Source organism: Homo sapiens, chromosome 2 (genome assembly GCF_000001405.40).
Source record: "Homo sapiens chromosome 2, GRCh38.p14 Primary Assembly".
NCBI classification, from domain to species: Eukaryota; Metazoa; Chordata; class Mammalia; order Primates; family Hominidae; genus Homo; species Homo sapiens.
This window is the reverse complement of record NC_000002.12, coordinates 50,916,509-50,938,097: the sequence shown is the minus strand read 5'-3', so window position 1 is coordinate 50,938,097 and position 21,589 is coordinate 50,916,509. Positions and strand designations below refer to the sequence as shown.

The 21,589-nt window shown below is 33.0% G+C and overlaps 1 protein-coding gene across 19 annotated transcripts in view; it reads left to right on the top strand.

Moving 5' to 3' along the window:
• NRXN1 (neurexin 1) overlaps positions 1-21,589 on the top strand; it is a 1,113,630-nt gene that overhangs the window by 94,035 nt on the left and 998,006 nt on the right. For 8 of the 19 annotated variants that reach the window (NM_001330095.2, NM_001330082.2, NM_001330077.2 and 5 more), the window contains 3 exons: positions 12,143-12,160; positions 15,411-15,440; positions 16,218-16,229. The exons of 4 other annotated variants lie outside the window; for them this stretch is intronic. In NM_001330095.2, the coding sequence (NP_001317024.1) occupies positions 12,143-12,160; positions 15,411-15,440; positions 16,218-16,229 (60 nt within the window). Of the gene's footprint in view, positions 1-12,142; positions 12,161-15,410; positions 15,578-16,217; positions 16,230-18,091; positions 21,277-21,589 lie in introns of those variants that run through there. 7 more of the 19 variants (NM_001330079.2, NM_001330090.2, NM_001330081.2 and 4 more) reach the window with 7 other exon arrangements.

Below are 21,589 nucleotides of genomic sequence, written 5' to 3'. Positions count from 1 at the left end.
GCACAGGTGTACCATTAAAAAAAAAATCATATTTTTACTTTACCTTTCCTATGTTTAAATGCACAAATACCTACCTTGTATGACAGTTGTCTACAGCATTTAGTACAGTAACATGCTACATGGGTTGATAGCCTAGAAGCAATAAGCTATACCAGATAGCCTAGGTGTGTAGTAGGCCATACCATCCAGGTTTGTTCAAGTACACCCTATTATGCTTGCACAAGGATGAAATCACCTAACAATGCATTTCTTGAAACGTATCCCCATTTCTGAGGCATGCATGACTTTATTAGCACCCAATTGGATCTTTAATAGTTAATTTTCTCTCAACTAATCATGGCCATGTCTTTATAATAATTGAATGAGATTACACAAGTGGAAATAATTTTTGAGTTTAAGAGACAGTTGTATTCTGCATCATCATCATTGTCATCATCTTCATCATCATCATCATCTACTTCATAAACAACAATCGATGGAGAAAGTTTGGAAATGCCTAACTAATAAATCTGGGACTGCCTGAAATTTGGATGGCAACTAATACTAAACTCCTTCAGTTTATTTTGCCCCAAATGACATGTCCAGTTGATTGAGTTCCTTACATCTGGTGTGAGAATACAACTTAAGAAAGCTCACTGCGGCAAGTAAATCCTGCCAACTAAAAGAAACATACTCATTCCCATGCTACTGATAGTTTCATAGAAGCCAAGCAGGAAATTGAGGTAGGAAACTAATTATTCTTTATAACACATATTTATTAAGCAAATTCTACATATACATACTGTGCTAGAAGCTGAACAAAAGAAGGGGAATGGAAAAGGCATTGCTCTTAAGCAGCCTGTGATTTGTATAAGGAAGCATTAATTATAATAATATAATGGCTAACATCATTAAATACGTATTAGCCATAAATAAGATGCTTTATAATCTGGCATTATTGAATAAGGGGTCTTACATTCTTTTGCTGTGTGCCAGGCTCTGTGGAGCAAGTTAAATATTTAGCATTGAGAAACATTTTTAAATATTAGAAAAAGTATATTAGATTTATCTTATTTGTGATAACAGACCCTAGAAGTCTCGTAACGAGAGGCACCTTGCTCTCTCCAATTTCTTCTTCAAGATGAATAGATAAAACATTGAAGTATTGGTAAGAAATGCCTAGATTCTCCAATGATTCGTAGTTTCTTAGTGTATTTTTTGTTCCTGACAATTTATTCATTTTTTAAAAATTATCACACTACCCACGTTTTCATACATGTTTACAAACTTTCAAGTGATTGATTTAATTCTCATAGTCTATTATTAGGCCTATTTAAAGTTATCAAGTCTATTTTCTCAATCTCAGTCCAGAATAGTTTTCATATTGCTCTGAGCCATATTAATTAAAAAAACGATGACACTTTCTATTCAGTATTTCAGAAAGCAGTGACTTTTCTACTCTCTTTCCACTGTGCTTTCCCCATGTGTTAAGTATTATTTTCAATATTACACATTTTGAGCATAGTTTACTTTAGATAGCTGCAAGATATACATTGTCTAAGCTACTAGGTACTGCCACAAGCTACATTTACTAGCAGCTATTAGCCATTTCACATACTTACTGTACATGTTGCACAACTAGTTTTTTTCTTAGTTATTGCAATACTGTCAGAAATGTATTAAGGTTTTCTGTCATTTATTATTTTATGTAAAAGTGTGTTTTCTCTAGTAGTACAAGATATAAGATAGTACTGAGTCAGGATGCTGATTCTGGCTTTCCAACACATATTTTCTTCATTATAAATATTAATAAGCATCTCATTATGTTGTGTAATCTCTTTCAAGTTGTTCTAATACCAGGGTTGGGCTAAAATGTCAGATGACCAGTCGGCCGGTTAGCTCAGTTGGTTAGAGCATGGTGCTGATAAAATATCAGATGACCTCAGTATCTTTTGGAAATCATCTTTCCTTCTCAATACTTAGTTTATTTTCCAAACAACAGCTCATATGCTTGGGACATATGGATTAAATGTTAGATTAAATGTTATTCATTAGGAAATTGAGGTATAAATGCATTGCCTTATTTCATTCACTATGTATCAATAGAGATTTGATGTCACTAATCTAACATAAAAAGGTCAGTTTTCTATAATCATTAAAGATATTTAATCTTTGGAGCAGGCCAGCATTCTTTCAACACTGAAAATAGACTTGGAAAATACTTTAAATACTAAAATAGACTTGGCAAAGTCTATTATAAATTTTTATTATACATCTTACTCATTCTTGACATGAAACTTTTTATTTCATCATTTCATCCCATAGATAATTTTGCCACTTTTTTTTTTCTTTTGCTTTTCTACCATTCCATATTCGGGTTACTTTTTTGTTTTTGAGACAGTCTTGCCCTGTTACCTAGGCTGGAGTGCAGTGGTGTGATCTCTGCTCACTGCAACCTCCGCCTCCCAGATTCAAGTGATTATCCGGCCTCAGCCTCCTGAGTAGCTGGAATTACAGGTGCCTGCCACCATGCCTGGCTAATTTTTGTATTTTTAAGAGACATGCAATTTCACCAGACTGGTGTTGGAACTGCTGACCTCAAGTGATCTGCCTGCCTTGGCCTCCCGAAGTGCTGAGATTATAATAGGCCTGAGCCACTGCGCCCAGCCTAAGGATTATTTTTCTATTCTCCCTACTCAGTTTTTATTTGCCTTCTCATTGGTTCATTTATTTCTATGTAGTAGTTCCTTAATAGGATCTTGGACTTTTCTAGAATTAACTAGAGGTGTGAACTGCTCCATTTATCCAATTGCCTTATCTCTGCTGTATTTAAGTCTTACAGAAATGTTGACTATTTTATTTGCTCATTTGGTTTATTTTTCTATGGTGTAATATTCAAAAAGAGGCCCATGTTATAGGAAGGAAAGTCTTTGACCTATAAGAGAATACATTATATAAGATAGTAGGATGAAAGGCGCTTTTTAAATTAATTTTAAAACTACTCTGTTAAAAGCTTATTAAACTCTTACATTGAAAAATGGTCATAGACTTAAAGACAGTAATGATAAATGATCTAATTGGGCATACTGCGAGAATGAGGGGCTTAAGAGTAAGACGATATTAGATTACTAGTTTAGTTTACTTAAAAATCAAAATAGGTTCAGCGTTTTCTCATCTATGAGGTCTAAAGGAAAAGACTTATGATGAAAAGAGTAATAATTGTCCAGAGTTTGAATTATTCAAACACATTTTTAAATGAATACAATAAAATTTTTATCAGGTTTATTTCCTAATTGTTATTATTTTAAGGTTAAGTGGAAATATTACAAAGTTCTCCATATTGCACAAATGTAATAACCCTGCTCTAAATAGATGTTTGCTTTTAAAACCATCATGCATTTTAATTATTTCCTTTTTTGAATAAAGAACAAATAATATGTACATTATATGAATAGCTTGATATTAAAAGATATTGTCAGAGAAGCTGTAGTTAATACCGCTCAATAGAACTTATTGTAATGACTGAAAGCTTCACAATTTGTGCTGTCCAGCCTGGTAGCCAGTGGCTACATGTGGCTATTGAGCATGTGGAACATGGCTAAGGAACTGAAATTTTAATTTTACTTAGAAATATGCCATATGTCTCTGTGGTTACATATTCAATCATGCAGTTAGAAAACACTCTGTTTTTCTAATACGTACAAACAAAATTGAAATAACAGATACAAAGAGGAAAAGAGAAGTTTATAATTTATTTAATGCCTATTATTAGTAAGGTAAAATGTTTATAGGAAAAGTGGTCATGTAGTAGTTGTGTTATTATTGATGATCTTATCAAATTATTTATTATAAATGTTTTTCTTCTATTCACGTTAACTTTTGTAGAAAAAATATTTTTATTGAGAAAAATATCACAGTTTGGATTTGTTTATGAAATGAAATACCAATTGGGTGTGTATATGTATACACATATGTGTTAGAGAGATACACACATGCTGGTACTGATGTTTAGGGAGGAGCTTTTGAAGTAATGGTATCATTGTATTGCCACACATTTTAAAGCAACATATAATGAGGTGTGGCTTGATGAGATTATTTTTAAAATTAAATTTTCTTGAAATTGTTTTGGTAGAAATGCAGACTTGCCGGTAGTCATAGAAAGCAGTTTAAACAAATTTGAAGAAGTAATTAAGTATACCGTCTTCTTATTATACATTTTTAAAAAGTAAAGTGAACTTCTCTGAATTATGGAATTAATATTTTAAGAAGCTATATTAGGGTTACAAAAGGAAATTTCTCTTTCTGTTCAGCATGTTTTCTTAAGTAGTGAATGCCCATTTCAGGAAAACATTAAAAAGGAATCATTAGGGTACCTAGAAATTTGTATTTGTGTTGATTTGATTTTATGGATCAGTAAATCAACAGATATAAAATGGATTAATCAAGATCATGGCTCTCTCTTCCACATGACCAATATTCATATGGGTTTAGTTTAGTCACTAGACATTAACTCAAATAACTACATATATAATATCTTCAAAAGTATAGAATTGGTTGTACCTATGAACAAACTATTTTCCTATAACTCTGTAACACAAAACACTTTTTTTCCAAAAGAGAATTGCAGTTTGTATAGTATTTAGTTTTTCTTCCTGCAAAAGAATTATAATTTGCTGCTCAGTTCCCAGGAGATTTACTACACAGCGAGTATGTAAGGGGAATGAAAGTAATATTTTTTACCAAATTTGCATTTTATAACTCAAATGAAAGAGCAAATATATTTTATGTGGCAAATTCATAATATATTGTCTCACCTACCAAAATATTTGGCTTTGAACAAAAGTGTCATTTTGTTTCAGATGTTTTAAAAGGAAGGCACAATTTATGTGATGGGTATGAAACGAGTGCTTTTCTTTAAATTTTAAAGACAGCAAGAAATTTATGGAATAATTCTTTCTTTGATTTCTAGTGGTTAGAATGCCCATGGGTAAACACATTTATAAACCTGGACCTAATTTTGCTCTTAAAGTAGGACAAAATATTTTCTAAATGCGTGTTTTTTTGTTTTGTTTTGTTTTGTTTTTTCTTGAGGAAGCAATTTATTGTAACAATCTAGAGAAGAGGACTGGGAGCCTTTTTTTTTCTTTAATAAAGGAAATTAAGCAGTATTAAAGTTTCTTAGACTTTATAGAATCAACAAATAAATGCAATTAAGAAAATAGTATTTTTCTCTGAGGTTTTTCTGCCTTCTTGCAGCAGGATCTATGAAATCATTCAGTCTTCTCACAGTCTTCTTACTCATTTATTCTATTGCTGTTAAGAAAAAAAAGTGATACCAGTAGTTATATTTTGTGTGTGTGTTTTTCTAGCACATTATTTTTTTAAATTATTTCAATAGATTTTTGGGAACAGGTTGTGTTTGGTTGCATGGATAAGTTCTTTAGTGGCGATTTCTGAGACGTTGGTGCACCCATCACCCGAGCAGTGTACACTGTACCTAATGTGTATCTTGTATCCCTTACTCCTCTCCTGCCCTTTCCCTTGAGTCCCCAGAGTCTATTATGTTTGCCTTTGTGTCCTCATAGCTTAGTTCCCACTTGTAAGTGGGAACATATGATATTAACATTGATGTCAATGGCCTAAATGCTCCACTTAAAAGATACAGAATGGCAAAATGGGTAACAATCTACCAACCAAGTATTTGCTGTCTTCAAGAGATTGACCTAATACATAGGGACTCACATAAACTTAATGTAAAGAGGTGGAAAAAGATATTCCATGTAAATGGAAACCAAAAGTGAGCAGGAAGGAAGGATGATTCTCCTTCCTCAGCCTCCTGAGTAGCTGGGATTACAGGCATGTGCCACCATGCCCAGCCAATTTTTGTCTTTGTAGTAGAGATGGGGTTTTACCATGTTAGCCAGGCTAGTCTCGAACTCCTGACACCAAGTGATCCACTTTCCTCAGCCTCCCAAAGTACTGGGATTACAGGTGTGAACCACCGTGCTCAGCCTGATTATAAGTAATATTTTTTGGCCAGGCACCTGGCCAACATGGTGAAATCCTGTGTCTACTAAAAAAATGCAAAAATTAGCAGAGCATGGTGGTGGGTGCCTGTAATCCCAGCTACGTGGGAGGCTGAGGCAGGAGAATTGCTTGAACCCAGGAGACAGAGGCTGCAGTGAGCCAACACGGTGACACTGCACTCCAGTCTTGGCAACAGAGTGAGACTCCATCTCCAGAAAAAAAAAATAATATTTTAATCAATCCCGAGAGCCTCCTGGAAAATTTCAATGTATGATCTAATTTATTTAGCTAAGAATGGCCTATTCCTTTTAAAATAATTTTCAGTGATTTTCATAAAACTTTGAAATTAATTTAGTCATAAACTGACACATGTAAATACAGTGAATTTTTAACACCATATAAAATGAAAAACTAAGAGCTCTGAAGAAATGAAAAATCAAATCCTTTTAATATGCTGTGCATTTTTCCTTCCAAGGAATAGCTTCCTTCCAAGCTGTTTGTTACATATGTGAGGGTCCTATTGAAGTGAAGATAACAATATAAAATATTTTTAATTTGATATAAAATTTCATTTTTTCTTTGATATAAAAAGAATGTATAATTGTCAGGTCGGTCATATCATATAAATAATTTTATTTTCTGTACACTGCATGTAAATGTAATTTTTAAGCATCAAACTTAAGACTCCTTTTTACAATGTGGTTTAGTCATATTTTTAATTTCATCACAAAGTATTTTTGCCTTTTCTTAGATAAATTAAATAGATTTGTTTTGGACATGTCTAAGAACCCAGGTATAGAATAATAAAGTTAAGAGTATTTTAATATTTAGTTGAAAAACATCTGTAGTAAGATGAAAAAAAATGGTGAAAAAAATTTATATACCAGTAGACATTTGACAGCTCTTTCAAATGAAGACCATTAGTCTTATTAGTGGGAGTTCACCTACTTTTCATCTTAATGATAGCAAACCTAGAACACATTGCAGAATATTCTCTGATGGTAATACACAGGCCAAAGGATGTCTCCTGTCCATCTGTTAACAAAGAAGTCAAAACCACATAACCACTAGAAGGGTTGGTAAGTTGGGAAAGTAGGTAGGGTGTATTTAAGTTCACTCTCTTAACCTCAGTCCAAGAGCTTTCTTGCTCTGTATCCTAAAATATGATGACGTCAAACTCTTAGAAAGGAAAGCACTGCTCACCTGAGCCACCTTTCTTAGGAGAGTTGTTTAACAGTGATTAAGCTTGGTTGGGAGGGTATGTGATAAGCACTCTGCTCAGTGTTGTCTGTCAATTCCGTATCAGGAAGCATTCATTTCTCAGCAATAAAAAATAAAAATAGGTGGTGTGAGCACACATACTGTAGACTGTGCTTGTCACCATGTTTACAGTCACTGTTAAATTCAGTGTTCCTTCCTAAGTCCAACTATTGAAATGAATGTTGAAATGTTAACTCTCAAGATTTAGACTTGGGGAAGAACTGAGATTATCAAAGCAAAACAAATTTGAAAATCCTTGTAGTAGTTCCTCATGAAAATTTGAAATTGAATTCATTATAGCTTATGTGAGTCATTCGATTTATATTATAATATGTTGACTAACAGTTATTAAATTTCATCAGGTTCATCAAATAGCTTAATCACTATAAATCGCAATAACTTTAGGCTTTCTTGCTTTTCCTTCCTCCTGCCCCCTTTCTCTTTTTCTCTTCTTTCTTTTAATTGTCATTAACAAGATAGAACATTTTGAATTAAATACCACAAATGTCTTTGTAACAAAATATTTTGGGGGGAAATTGTTTTAAGTGTTTCTAGTGTGATGCCAGGAACATCTGTGTTGCTGCATCCGGTTTAGAGATACATTTTTTATTCCCGAGCAGTGAAGAAGGAGAAAAACTGGTTGTTGTAGTTGACTCCATATATTTCCTAGGATGAGTACTCCAAGCAGGCTGGGTGGGAGTGTCCTGCAATATTATTTAGCTGGGATTGAAAAAGGAGGTGATGTCCTCTGTTAAAAAGCATGTTTGAAATTAGCCCAATTCCTGTCCAGGACCATTTCTTTCCTTCCCTAAGTCTCCATAATGGACCTTTATGCTTCATTTTCTCTTTGAACATCGTCTTGGTTCTGGGCCGCATTTCTATTCCTTCAGCTGACTGCTGCTTTAATCCACAGTCTCAATGATTTCCTCCATTTCCCAGTGCTTGAAGCATTCCCAGACTATTGAGGTTTTTTAAAGGCTTTCACTGCTAATACCAAAAGAAAAAACAAAGCTCCATCCTGTGCCACCATGGGAACTAAGCTCTGCTGTACTGGCATTTGATCTCCAAAATGAGGAGTACAGGCTTGAGAAGTAATGTGATGGGCGAGAGAGACGTGGATAGAAGTTAGCACACTCCCTGTATGGAGGAAGGAAATAGAATCTTATTCTTCATCTGTCTTTCCACTGCCTGTTACCACCACCAGTTTTGCTGTAATATGCCATACCTTGGAGTGCTGGTATCTGGGACAGAAGCTACTCGCAGTAGTGGCAGTTTTGATGGAGGAGAGAGGGAATCAAGGAAAATGAGGGGAGCCAGTCACAGGCATCTAGCAGAGAAGGAAGGAAACCAAAAATTAAAGAAGTAAAGGAATGCCCAAGTGATATCAGGAAGCTTCTTTTGGTCATTTTTTAATGTAAGTTGTAGCACTAAATGGACCACTGTCTGTACATTTAGAGAAAGACTTACATATTGCCAAACTTTAGCACTGATTATACAGAAAGGAGATTTTTGTGATATTTTATTCCAAATTTTAATTTTTTACTGGTCATGATTTTCTTTATATTGAAACAAGCACATTTGTTTTTGTATTCATTTGTTTTCCTAGAACCGTATACTTAAGAGTATGTGCAAAGAACACTGGAATGATAAACTAAAGTTACTGTCCTTGCATTCTTATAAGCTGGGGGCCGAAGATAAAAATTTTGTGAAGATGCTCTTTTACAGTGATTTTAAAACAGGCTGTTGCTTGCCTTCTTGTCAGCACACAGCCATTATTCATAGCATGATTGATATTCTGGTGCCTAATTCCCATCTTTGTGAGAGAAGCCCATCCTATCTGAAAGAAAAATAAAATGTAAAGTATCTTTTTCACAGCTCTATATTCATTATTTTTCCAATGAAAAGAAAGCAAGAGTGTGATCTTTATAGGTGGCGTGGTCATCGTAGTAAAGTTAATGATTAAGAGACGCACTTCATTTACTCAGCAAGGATTAGGTCAGCAGAATTAAGAAGCCAGGGTTTTCTGCAAACCAAGAGATTTTCCCTAACTTGACAGTGTCCACAGGTAAGGCCGGATGGACTGCTTTCTACCTTACACTAAACCAAAATATGCTGCTTTACCTGTACACCGTGGCATGCCAAAATTCAGCACCTGTCTTTGTTGCTGCTCAAAAGCAAAGTAGCATTTGTGTGTATAAGAATTTACAAAGATAAAGAAAAAATTGTTATGAGGAGATAAACTATTCTTTTTTGACTCGACATTTATTATTTAGTACAGAAATAAAATGGAAAGGAAAGAGAAGGGAAAAAAATACCTGGAGAATGGTTGTAAATGCTGGAGCTACCACCAGTTATAATCACGTCCAAATTCTGAAATAATGTAGGGATTTTCTTTAGGTTAACAAGTTTTAAATTATGTAAAGTTAGCAAATGGATACCAGAATAGAATAGAATGGAAGAGGAAAGAGGATTTTTATTCTGAGATTGAATCTGAAAGTATATGGAAACTCAAGGAAAGTCTGCTCCAAGCCAGTTGTCTTCATCATCATCACCATCTTTTTTTTAAACAGTGGTTAATATATCACCCATTTATTCTAGTACTTTGATTTTTTTTTTCTAAATCTAAATTTTCTGAGACAGACCACTTTTCTGGATTTAGTCGAGTCAGAATTTGTTTACACATTAAACATGACTTGGATCGTTTAAAGGAATTCCCATTATTAAGCTTGTTCTCATTATGAATAAGAATTCAGAAAAAAATGCTAGATGGTAGAGTAGGATCCATGGCAAAACCTAGGCTTGTATCTATGGTCATGAAAGGAGAACTTGCCGTCAGGACTGAATCAGTGACCTTGAACTCCTTTTATAATGCCCTACTTAGTGCATTCCTAAAGTTGGTGTCAGGCCTGGGCCTGTTTCATTTTGTTGGTTTGCTTTTCTTTCCTTTTTTTTTAATTGTAGTTTTAGGCCACACTTTACCAAAATTTCTACCGAAGCACTGCTCCTCACAACCATATTTGCCCGTCTTTACAGAAATTAAATAATGCTGTAGCAATTGACATACTGTCTTGGCACATGACTCTCCTCTAAATTCCCTGATTTTATTATTTTACAATACATATTAAATAATCTTGTTAAGTAAGCATCTTAAACAGAAGATACAATTTCAAAGTTAATATACAGGAAAAGTATATCTTAAACATTACAATAATTTATATCTTTGTATTATGTCCAATATAATGCAGTAAAACAAAACTTTAATATTTGTGTTTGTGTAACATCAAAGTCACCACTGAAAAGTAACAAATTCAGCCTAATTCCTTGTTTAATAAATTGGCAGTCCAAAAAACAAACAAAAACAAACTAGAAGTCAATATCACAGACCAAATATTTGAAAGTTTTTTTTGTTGTTTCTTTAAAAATAAACTCTGGAAAACCAAGTATTGTGTAAAGATGTTATTACCCACATTTAGCCACCAGCCATTTTCTATTACATGCTAACACCACATCAGTAGATGTGCCTGTGTTGATACTTCAATTTTCAGCTGAAATGTTTTAAACAAAATTGTTGATTTTTAATTCACTAGTAACTTTATCCAATTAAGAAGGTTTTAGGTGAACCTAATCAAATGGTACATTCTTAGTTGTTTTTGCTTTCAAGTTTCTATACTTGCATGTTGCCATGTTTATAAACACCTCTGATCAGATGATGAGTTTATAAAGTACAATTAATTAAACAAAAAATAAGGATGAGACTAGAATGTCAACATGGGTAGAGTTTACTATTAGAACATTTTTGATAACTACTGAAACCTTGCTCTTGCCCTAGTCCCCTAAGACAGCTTTCCCTTCCATTTCTTGCCGGGATTGCAGGCCCCGAGTCTCAAATAGAACTTGAATTTTCCACTAGGTACTAATAATACTTTAAACCTTATATATTTATATTGATTATCTTGGGAAATACAAATCTGCTTGGATATATATGTTTATACATATATACATAGGTACACACATGGAAATATGACTAACAAAATATATGAAAACATGTAGGTATTTTATAGATATATAGAAATATAAGAGAAATTGAGCTAAATATTTTCATTGTCTCAAACAAATTCATATTCACATCCTCAACAGAAGTACAAAGTTTTTAAATCACGACAAACCAAATTGCCTTATGGACAGTTCCCAGTGGACTTCTCTTCCAGTGATCACTTTCCTACCTAACATTTTTAAAAGTTAGCATTTTTATAAATTCCAATAAACTATTCTCATTTGCAATACAATATTAATATGCTATAAATTAACCAAATAAATTGCAGATTTTAGTTCCATATAGTTACGTTGTTTTTCTTTAAGGAAAGCAATTGAGGTATTAGAAATACTAAAAGGCAGTAATGGCATATGGATAATATATTTGGTAGAACTGGAATATCTTTAAGTGAAATTTCATAGCTCTTTCCAATAGACTTCTTAAAATCTAAGGCCAAATCAGTATGTGGAAATAGAACCTTTTAGAATTGTTAAAAAGAAAACAAAAAAGCTTTTAAAAATAATTGCCTAGAAAGACCACACCAGCAACATGTAATAACAATAATGTTTGCTTTATACTGGGTAGTTGAAAGATTTTTTTAAAAACTCTTTGCACAGGGCATGGCAGTATTATGAAAGTTTGTCTCACTTCCTATCAATGCTGCCAATGGGAGGGAACCTGCTTCCCTGTGATTTTGTTTTCCCCCTTGAATGATAGTGATGGAGCACTTGCATGATGTGTTTGGTGCCTTGCATGAGGAAGACATGCAAAGGCAAGGTCCAGTCTGCATGCTGCTTAATGAATGTTTTTCCTTTTCTCTCCCTCCTTGTCATGTGCTTTCAGAAGACAACAATGTGGAAGGTGGGTGCTTTCTACCTTATTTTTCCAACTCTCATTTGTCCTTTATTTCTTAGTACTAATAGGGTACATCTTGAAGTTAGATGGTAAGTTGAACTTCTTTCTGAACATTTGTTGGTTTCTGGATTGTGTATCACTTTTCATACAGAACACATACATTCTCAACCCTGCCATCCCAAGTATATGAAACTTTTTCAAGCTTAACTCCAACCCTTGTTAGACCTCAGCATCCCATATGAAGCTTAGAATAGTTATTACAGTGTTCTGTATGAGAAAAATGATAACAATTCTGCTTTTTTTACTTTAAAAGACAAAATATTTCTTTGTAGTTTCATAAGACAGTGCATGATCCTTTTTCCATTTTTTATCAAAATGACTTATTCTATTCTGGCAAAATTTAGCATTATCTCATTTCAAGCCCATTGGTTTGTTTAAAATGATTGGATGTATAAAAAGAATGCAATAAAGTACTGAGTATAAGTAAGAGACATAAATTTAGATTAAAAAATAAGCCATTGGCCAGTGGACATGAAAGCATACAGCATTTCGATATGATTCCTGGTAAGTATATTTGTAATATTTTTTGCCTGCTAAATATTTTATTCAGTCTTTTATAAAAAATTATCTCTGTCAAGGAATTTTGAAGAAGTTATATAGCTTATATATTTTCCTGTAGAATCCAGCAAATTAAAACATATTTCCTTATTCTCATTTTTTAAGAACTTAAATGCATTAGTCAGTGTGCTACAAACAAATCTTCAAAGTGTTAACATGCAAAAAGAACAAGGCATAACAAAAGAATGGTGAAAGGGAAGGTTTTATCAAATTATATATGTTCTATCAACTTATATATTCACAGCATTAACAGTTCCTACATAAAGATTTACTAATTTACTAATATTTGTATATGGGAAGACAGCATTTAGTATATTTTATTTTACTACCATATTTTGAAATATAGTCATTCTGTAAATGTACATTTCCATAGAATGAAGGATTTCTTAGAAAAAGACTCCCTATCCCAGGTTACAGATAAATAGCCATTAAGGTTACCAAGACTTCATGTATCTAAGAAAGAACACTTCATGATAATACAGAGTTGACCAGTAGCAGGGGTAAACATTATATTTGTGATTCGTACATGGATAATATTATAATTGCTTAGCTGCTGAACATTTCTGTTTTGTTATTTAAATAAAATAGATTAAAACTTTAAAAGAAATCATAAATTACTATTTTCTAAGTGTTGTATCCATATATGGCTTCTGTTTTTGTATACTATAATTTTAATTGCATGTGAGTATATACTTGATAAAAATGATATATTACCCTGCAGGCCTAATATCTTTTGAAGTCAGTCTCATTTATATTGTGCATGTCAACTGAGTTTAAAAGTTATTTTTTAGAGGTATCTTTTCAACTTCTTTTGCATTTCCTTATCCATCCTGTGAAATGCTTTTCTTTTCTCTTAAAATCCTATTGCATCCCAAGAGGCTTTAAAATCAGCCTAATTAGCATGAATGCTTCTCTCTTTTCACACACACTCATCCCATGGTAAGATTTATTTTTAGAATATAGGCCCATAAGCTATTGTAATAAAGTCTGTTCAATCATAATTTTAATATTTCTATCTATAATATGACCTTTACAGTATAGGTAGAAAGTCTAGCAGGAAGAATGTGAATTCTTTGGGGATTAGTGAATTTCCATCCTTATTGATGTAGCATCAAAACCGTTGGAAGTACCTAATATATTTTCTAAAAGGTAGATCTTCAAGACAATTTCCTCATTTAGTCCATAAAACTTATAAAATGTTACTTGGAAATATCTGTAGTAGTTTTAAAAGTGAAATTAAATGAAAAAATATGTAACCTGGACAAATAAGCCACTATCAGCATATAAAACACTATGAATTATCAATAGATCATAAGCTGTTGAATCTGCCTGTGTGAACTTTTTGTTAAAATCACTCAGAAAATACAGAGAGGCTACAGTTCAGAGGCATCACACTACTGTGTTTAATAACTTTCATGTTATATTGTGATTAGATGATTATTTGTAATTATATCTAGCCTACAGAGATGTTTGAATACCCCTAAAATTTTAAGAAAACAACACAGATAATTTAAATACTGATGAAACCAATGTGTAATGTTATATAGCTCAAATAAAGTTTCAAATATATCTGAAATAGCACTGGAAATTGAAAATACAAGTTTATTAAAACTGATAAATGTGTATTTCTCTAACATTTTCCCGTATTGTAGACATATACATGGATAGAGAAATAGCTTTATTTCTGAATTTAAAATAAAAAGCTAGGAATTATGCCTTTCAGTAAAAAGTAACTTCTTGAATAGCAAAAGAATTTTTGAAAGCATGTTAGTAGTATTATTTAGAAGAGAAGTGCTCTTCAGTTTGAAGTGAATTGTCAAGCAGGAAATAATAAATAAATTAAATAAAGGAATTTCAATGTCCTTTAAAGAATTCCTTGATGAAATTACATCTGTAATATGTATCTTTACACTAACTTAGAGTTCAGCATTTAAGAAATATTTAGGTGAAATCTCAAATAATTTTGTTCTCTGAGGAAAATTGCTTTAGTGTATTTGCAGCTGACCCATTGTTTCTTAAAAACCCTTTTTTGTAGTAAATTCTAGCTTTACAACTGCATGTCTAATGATCATTTTGTATTTGAACAAGCCTAGTCAGCCGCTACATGTGTCAGACAAGGAGACATTTCTGCATTATCATTTCAATGTGACTACAATTTTTTTTTCTTCATTTAATTATAAAATGCTCATTTTTTGATGAGGGGAAAAAGATCAGACCCAGCCCATGTTTCATGTATTCCATTGGGTTTTAAAAAAATGTAATTTCATCACTGAAGAATTACAAGCCCTGTGGGGGCAATATGCAAAACAGTCTCATTAAAGGGCACAGAGGGCAGATGTAATATTGAGGGGTTTGGTTGGATTTTAAGTCATGCTCTTGTGCTCTTGGTTGTTCCAACTGATGCATGGAAGAAATACACAGTGCAGCATATGCCAGTGTTTAAAACGCAGTTCTAGAACACTTTGCCCCAAAGCATTCCAACCAGGGGTTGAAAGAATGCTTTTTGATTTGCCTCTGTGATACAGACATGTCTCATAGGAAAAGAGATGTCTGTCACTGAACATTTTTGTCACCGTGACAACCCTGCCTTCCCATGCTCCCTTGTTTATTGCTGACTGTGCTCTTGTTTCCCTTCAAGGTCTGGCGCACCTGATGATGGGCGACCAAGGTATGGGCTCTGTTCCTTTTCCACTCTGCTTTCAGTGTTTTCTTGTTCTGTAGCTGCTTTCAAACCATCACTGCAAAGGATGGGCAAATGCTTGCAAATTATATGGCTGCAAATTAAATACATATCTTTTGTTCACATTTTTTCATGTGTTTTTCTTCCATTTCTTTGTTCGTTTGATTTTGGTTTGTTCCTGTGGCTTTTATTTTCCTTCATTTCTTGCATTATAATATTTGCAAATAAATGAGACATAAGAAATTGTGATTGAAAGTTTCTATATACTTATCAGCATATGCAGTAAAGGGTGGTTATGGTAAAGAAAAACCGAGAACCATCAGAAGTTGCTGTCTGAAAGAAGATCCTCAGTTTAAACCACTGTATCCAAAAAATAAGTCCATTTTTCATCCATGCATGACAGTTTGGGAACATGCAGACATCTTTGGCTTCTGGCTTGTAGAATGCTGAGTATAGTGTTCCACAGAATCAATACTTTCTCTACGTAGATTTATTGTATGTCTCTCTTTTGTGTGATCTTTTAAAACTGAGCATGGGCCTTTCAGTTTTTTGCATGTACTTGCCTTCAAAAAAGGCAGAATTCCCAACATGTCCTGATTGCATCTCCATTTGTCTTCAAAACCTTGTTTATACTTTCATGTCTTGTTTAATTTTCAGAGAGTAGTGGCTTTACATATGTTCATAATACTTATTGTTGTTTTTCTCCTCTTTATCCTCTTTGTCTGGAAACCCTTTCTTCATGGACCCATTTCATCAAATCCATAGGTAAAAGTAAAGGTATTACATTATTTTATTTCTTCTTAATATCATCTGTATGAATTACAGTGTGTCTGAGTTACATAAATGTATTTAGACCTTTTGGCATTGGTAATGGGCACTGGGAGGTAGGTATATGTGTTAATAAATATTTTATAAATTTAAGATAAGAAAAATCCATCAATATGTTTCCATTTTCGCCCCCACCCTTTTTTTTCTCTTTAGAGTGATCTTTTTCATGTCAGGTGCTCACATAATTAATATATTTAGAAATTAGCTACAAGTTTCGGTGTCAGTTTCTGCAGTATCATTTAATGGTACTTAAATAAGTGTAGGAACTGTAAATATGTGATCTTCAAATATTCAGCTCTGGAGCACACCTGCCCTAGCCATTCTGTATTGAGACATAAGTCTAAGCATGTGCACCACTGAAATGGTACTGCTGTGGGTGCATCATCTTGTTGTCTGCTAGGTGTCATTTATGCACATGAACACTGTAGTAACCTAAAAAGGCAGTATTAAGAAAGAGACAAACAGAGGAGCAAGACATTTCTTTTTATGCATACTAACTTTGTTTTAAGGGCATTATCAACTAGCTATGCATTCCCGCATTGCTTGGTAAGTCAGGCATGTGTACTCTTTGATGATGTTGGTACGAAATCCAGAAGCATGTGTAATTTGCCATTTAAAACCATCCTCATTGTGTTTAATGTTGTCATTAAAAGGAAGTAAGTGGTATGCAGCTGTGGCAAACATATAGAATAGTCTTTAAATCAACCATTTTTAACTGTGTGTTAGTGAATGTTTCTATTTAGTTTCTGTTTTTTAATTATTATTATTAGTTTAAATGCAGGAATATCTTTATTCTTTCCTGTGTTCTCAGTGTTAATCTGGTGAATTGGGACCACAGTTCACAGTTCTGCACCTTTATGTTTGTGTCATCTAGCAGGAAAACTTTTCTGCTTGAAAAAGCATCTGAACATGAGCCAGGCAATATGTAAGAAATGATATCAATTTTAAATGTGTAAAATAGAGCTTTAGAAACAAATGCTGTTTGAATACTTTGATCCAACAACATAGGTTATCACAGTTTTGGTTTTGGCAGCTATTTTCAATAGTATAATTTAATCTCATATTAAGCCTCTAGCAACTATGCAAATGACAGTATGTATCAATTATTTTAGAGGTTTTGTGTACCATTTTGAGTGCTTTCTAAACATTTTTACTTGAGGCCAAAATCTCATCCACTGCGTTCTCTTAAGTGGGCATTTCTCATCATGTTCTTTAGTTTGTGGACTTAGGGATGGCATAGAGGGAAGAATATACTTTATCTTACTGGCTGAGTAAAGTATATGTATATGTGTTTGTATGTATGCATATGTGTATTTGTATGGATGCATGTATAAATACACAATTTCTAAGTATATACACTCGTATATTTGTTATTTTGTGAAAAAGTAACTCTTAAAATAATTTTTTAATTATACAACCATTTTCTACATATGGAATAGTTCATGTTTATACTCAGCTGATATTTGTTTTGGTGTACTTAATGTCAAGTGTCACTTAACTTTATTTAGTTTTTCTATGTCAGTCTTAAATGTTTTCTGTTGGCATGTGTGTCAAACATTATTTTTTAACTTCACCAGTTTTCATCAGATTTTGTTCCTCAATCAGCACAAAGACACAGAGGACAGGAATTTGTTTTTTTCATTGCATTCTTCTTCTATTATTGGGACGAGTAAGCTTTTTGCTGTTAAATGGAGAGAGAAGATTTTTAGATGGACTTGAGTATTTTGCAAATCACATTGGTACCCATTTCATATTGTTTAATTAGATGTAGAGAAATGAGAAAGGTGATTGTAAGTCTTCTCTAATTGCAGATTAATTCAACAAATCTATATTCTAGAGCAGAAATACAATCATGACTATGACATGGCATCCACAGAGTGTTCATATAACAAGGAAATGAAAACATTTGGGCAAGTTAGAATGAATGACAGAATGGAAGTGCTGTGAGACTGGTACAAAGTGAAGTAGGAATTCAGAAAAAGGAAAGCATAACATCAATCCAAGTCTGTCTTATGTGAATATCCCCACCTTGTGCCATCTGTTGGAGGAATTAAAAAAAAATCTGGAAAAAATAATTTAGGAACTTTACATTGCAATTTCCTATGTGGAGTTAAATCCTAGTTGTGCATAAAATCGGGGTTAAGTCTGGACAGTTTATATAACTGATTTACAGTGTAAACTTATGTTTCCTAAATTTTTATATCTCAATATAATCATGGAGCAATTTTCTCAATTTCCCCACTTTTCTCTTGTGTGAGTAGTGAATTCAGGGGATCTGGAATGAAGTTTTGTGGATTAATGTCTTTCTTTATGAAAAAAAGACTATAAAAAAATAAATTCAAGAACATCTTCATTATTTTGATTTCTTCTTTATGAATTCTTAAATATTTTCTAACTGTTTAAATGTCCAGTGATAGATGAATATATTTCATTAAAAAATAATTAACACATGTAAAAAGAACATGCCTTTTGATAACCTTCTTCATCCTCCTCTCAAGTCCTTTCTCTCGAGGTAAGCACTGGTCTCACTTTGTGATGTGTCCTTACAGAGTTGATGTTGATCCTTCTGTGCTCCATAACAACTCAGGGTTTGGAAACTGCAAAATCCCTTATCATGTGTACATGACAAAAATGGCGAAGTCAGCTGGAGACATGTTAGAGACCACTGCTGTGGGCTGGCAGAATCACAATGAATTAAACACGAGTTTACTCATTCTTCTCATAGGCCATAGTGCCTCCTATTTTTAATTAGTCATCCTGTTTCAAACTTTAGAGTCAGTCTGTTACTTGTGTTTTTTACATTCCTAAACAAAGATATGTCACCTTTAACTGGATATGGTTAAGAATAAACTTTGAATGAATTATAGTTTTCTTTGGGGCAGCTGAAGATCTGTTATTCAAAGCCAACCTTACTTTTGCTGGTTGTGGGTAGATGGATTCAAATAGTCTTCATGAAATTTGGATCACATTTTTTTGGGGCTTGAAATTTGTCAATGATGTTGTTGTTAGGATCATTGATAATGCTAATTTTATTCTCCTTTCTATTTAGAATTTAGGTTTATCTGTTTGCCTTGAATGAAGTATGTCTTTTCTCTTTTGTTCTTGTTTCTTTTCCTATGTATGTGTAACTGGTCACTTCATTCCAATAATTGCTTTGATTGTTTATTTATATTTTACTTTAATGGCTTATCAGAAATGAATGACTATTTAAATTACAAAAAAGTCAAAATATGTTATACATGAAAATCAAGCCATAATAGCTGGTTAATAGCTCAGGAGCACAAGTTAATAATTATCAGCGAATGTTGGCACTTTGATTGGAGGCTTGTACTTTTCCTTCATAAGTCATCATAATTGTAATTACATATTTGTATTTGTGATTATACTTAATGCTAACTTTTCCTAGTAGAGTGTAAGCTCTATGAGGGCAGAAAGCTTGTCTTTCTCTTTGACCATTGTATTTCCAGAACATTTTTCTTATTGTATCTTGAATTTGCGATTTTCATGACTTAAATGTATTTGTTTGGGGGCGGTGGTTTCAACTGTCCATTTTAAAGAGTCAAATGGACATTTACTGTTTAATTATCCAGGCTTCTCATGTTACTAGAAGAGCAAAATATTACAAGTAGAACTGAAAAGAATATAGTTACACATTCTGAAAGTGCATAAGCCTTATTCTCTTTGTGAAGAGTAGATCTTAAATTAGTATAATTTATAAAAGTAATAAAGATAGATTTTTCTCAAAACTAATTGTTAAAGCTAATTGTAATTGTTAAGACCTGGATACAACTCTTCCACCTGAACTAATTGATGAGTAATATCTAATATTACCATGTGCTTTAAATTTTTATCTATACTGTCATACCACAATAATATTTCATTAAACTTACTCTTATAATAGATTTGATATTATTAATACTTAGAAAAGAATAAAGCATTTGGTGTTTTTTTAATACATTTTCTTTTGTCTTTGTCTTAGTCCATTTGGGCTTCTATATAAAAATACCATAAACTGGGTAGCTTGTAAGTAACAGAAACTTATTTCTCAAACGTCTGGAGGCTGGGAAGTCCAAGACCAAGGGCTGACACAGTCGGTGTCCAGTGAGATTTTGCTTCCTGGTTCATAGATCACTACCTTCTCTTTGTGTCCTCACTTGAAAGGGAGAAAGAGAGCTCTCTGGAGTGTCTTTTATAAGGACAGCAATCCCATTCATAAAGGCTCTGCCCTCAGGACCTAATCAAATCCCAAAATCCCCCTCTCCTAATCCGTCATTTTGTGGGTTCGGATTTCAGTTTATCAATTTTGGAAAGATACAACATTCAGATCACACAGTTTCCATGATTTTTATTTTTATACCATTTTCAAGTCCTGTGTTGCTATATAGCGAATTTGTCTGTGAAGTGCACAACTTCCAGTTACTAAAATCCTAATGCATATTTGTTTTATGCTTTTTAAAATATATTTTGCTGTGATTTCTGATATAGACCTAATTTGGTTATTAAAATATGATATGTATCTTCTTCTGTATAAATTCTTAAATTGTATTTCCTCATTTAGTTTCATAATAATAAGTCATCTGTTTGTTCAGAAAAGTTTGTGAATGTTGACAGACCCTTACTGTTGAAATGCCTGTGTTTGGTGCATATACAAACTAAGAAGTAAGAATATTTGTTTAAATTTTCTACTGTGTTACCTCTACTCTTGCAATACTGGATCCCCTTAACTCACAGCCGCAGACCGTGGGAAGACCGGAGTTTCACCTTATAATATCAGACATTAAATATCTACTTTTATCTATACAGTACACATAGAAGGCTATGTGACTATTTAGAATTCAATGTTTGTTTACTAGTTCATCTTTAGCTTACATGTTCATTAGTTCTGAGTAGAACCAAGAAAAACTAATTGAAGAGTATATGCTTATGTATTATCTCTTGCTGTGATTTAACCAATCTTGTTACATGTATTACTAATAAAAGTCCCAGCTTGAATGTATTTCTGTAATCCTGGCTCTGTGAAGCAAAGTTTTCTGTGTCATTATACATTCCTTAAACAATGATAACATTGAAAAACTGATCATCTAAACAAGACTTTTACTAAACTTGTTGTAGACTAACTTATCCTCAGAGAGGAGCACAGAAAGGACTCTCTGTACTTTAATAGTTTAAAAAATGAGGTGGTATGAATAGAAACTTAGATGCGTTTTACTGAAATATGTTGCAAATAGCAAAACTTTCAAATTATGACATAATGGAGGTTAAACTGATTATTTCTTCTCCAAAATAATGACTTTATGTTATTTATACAT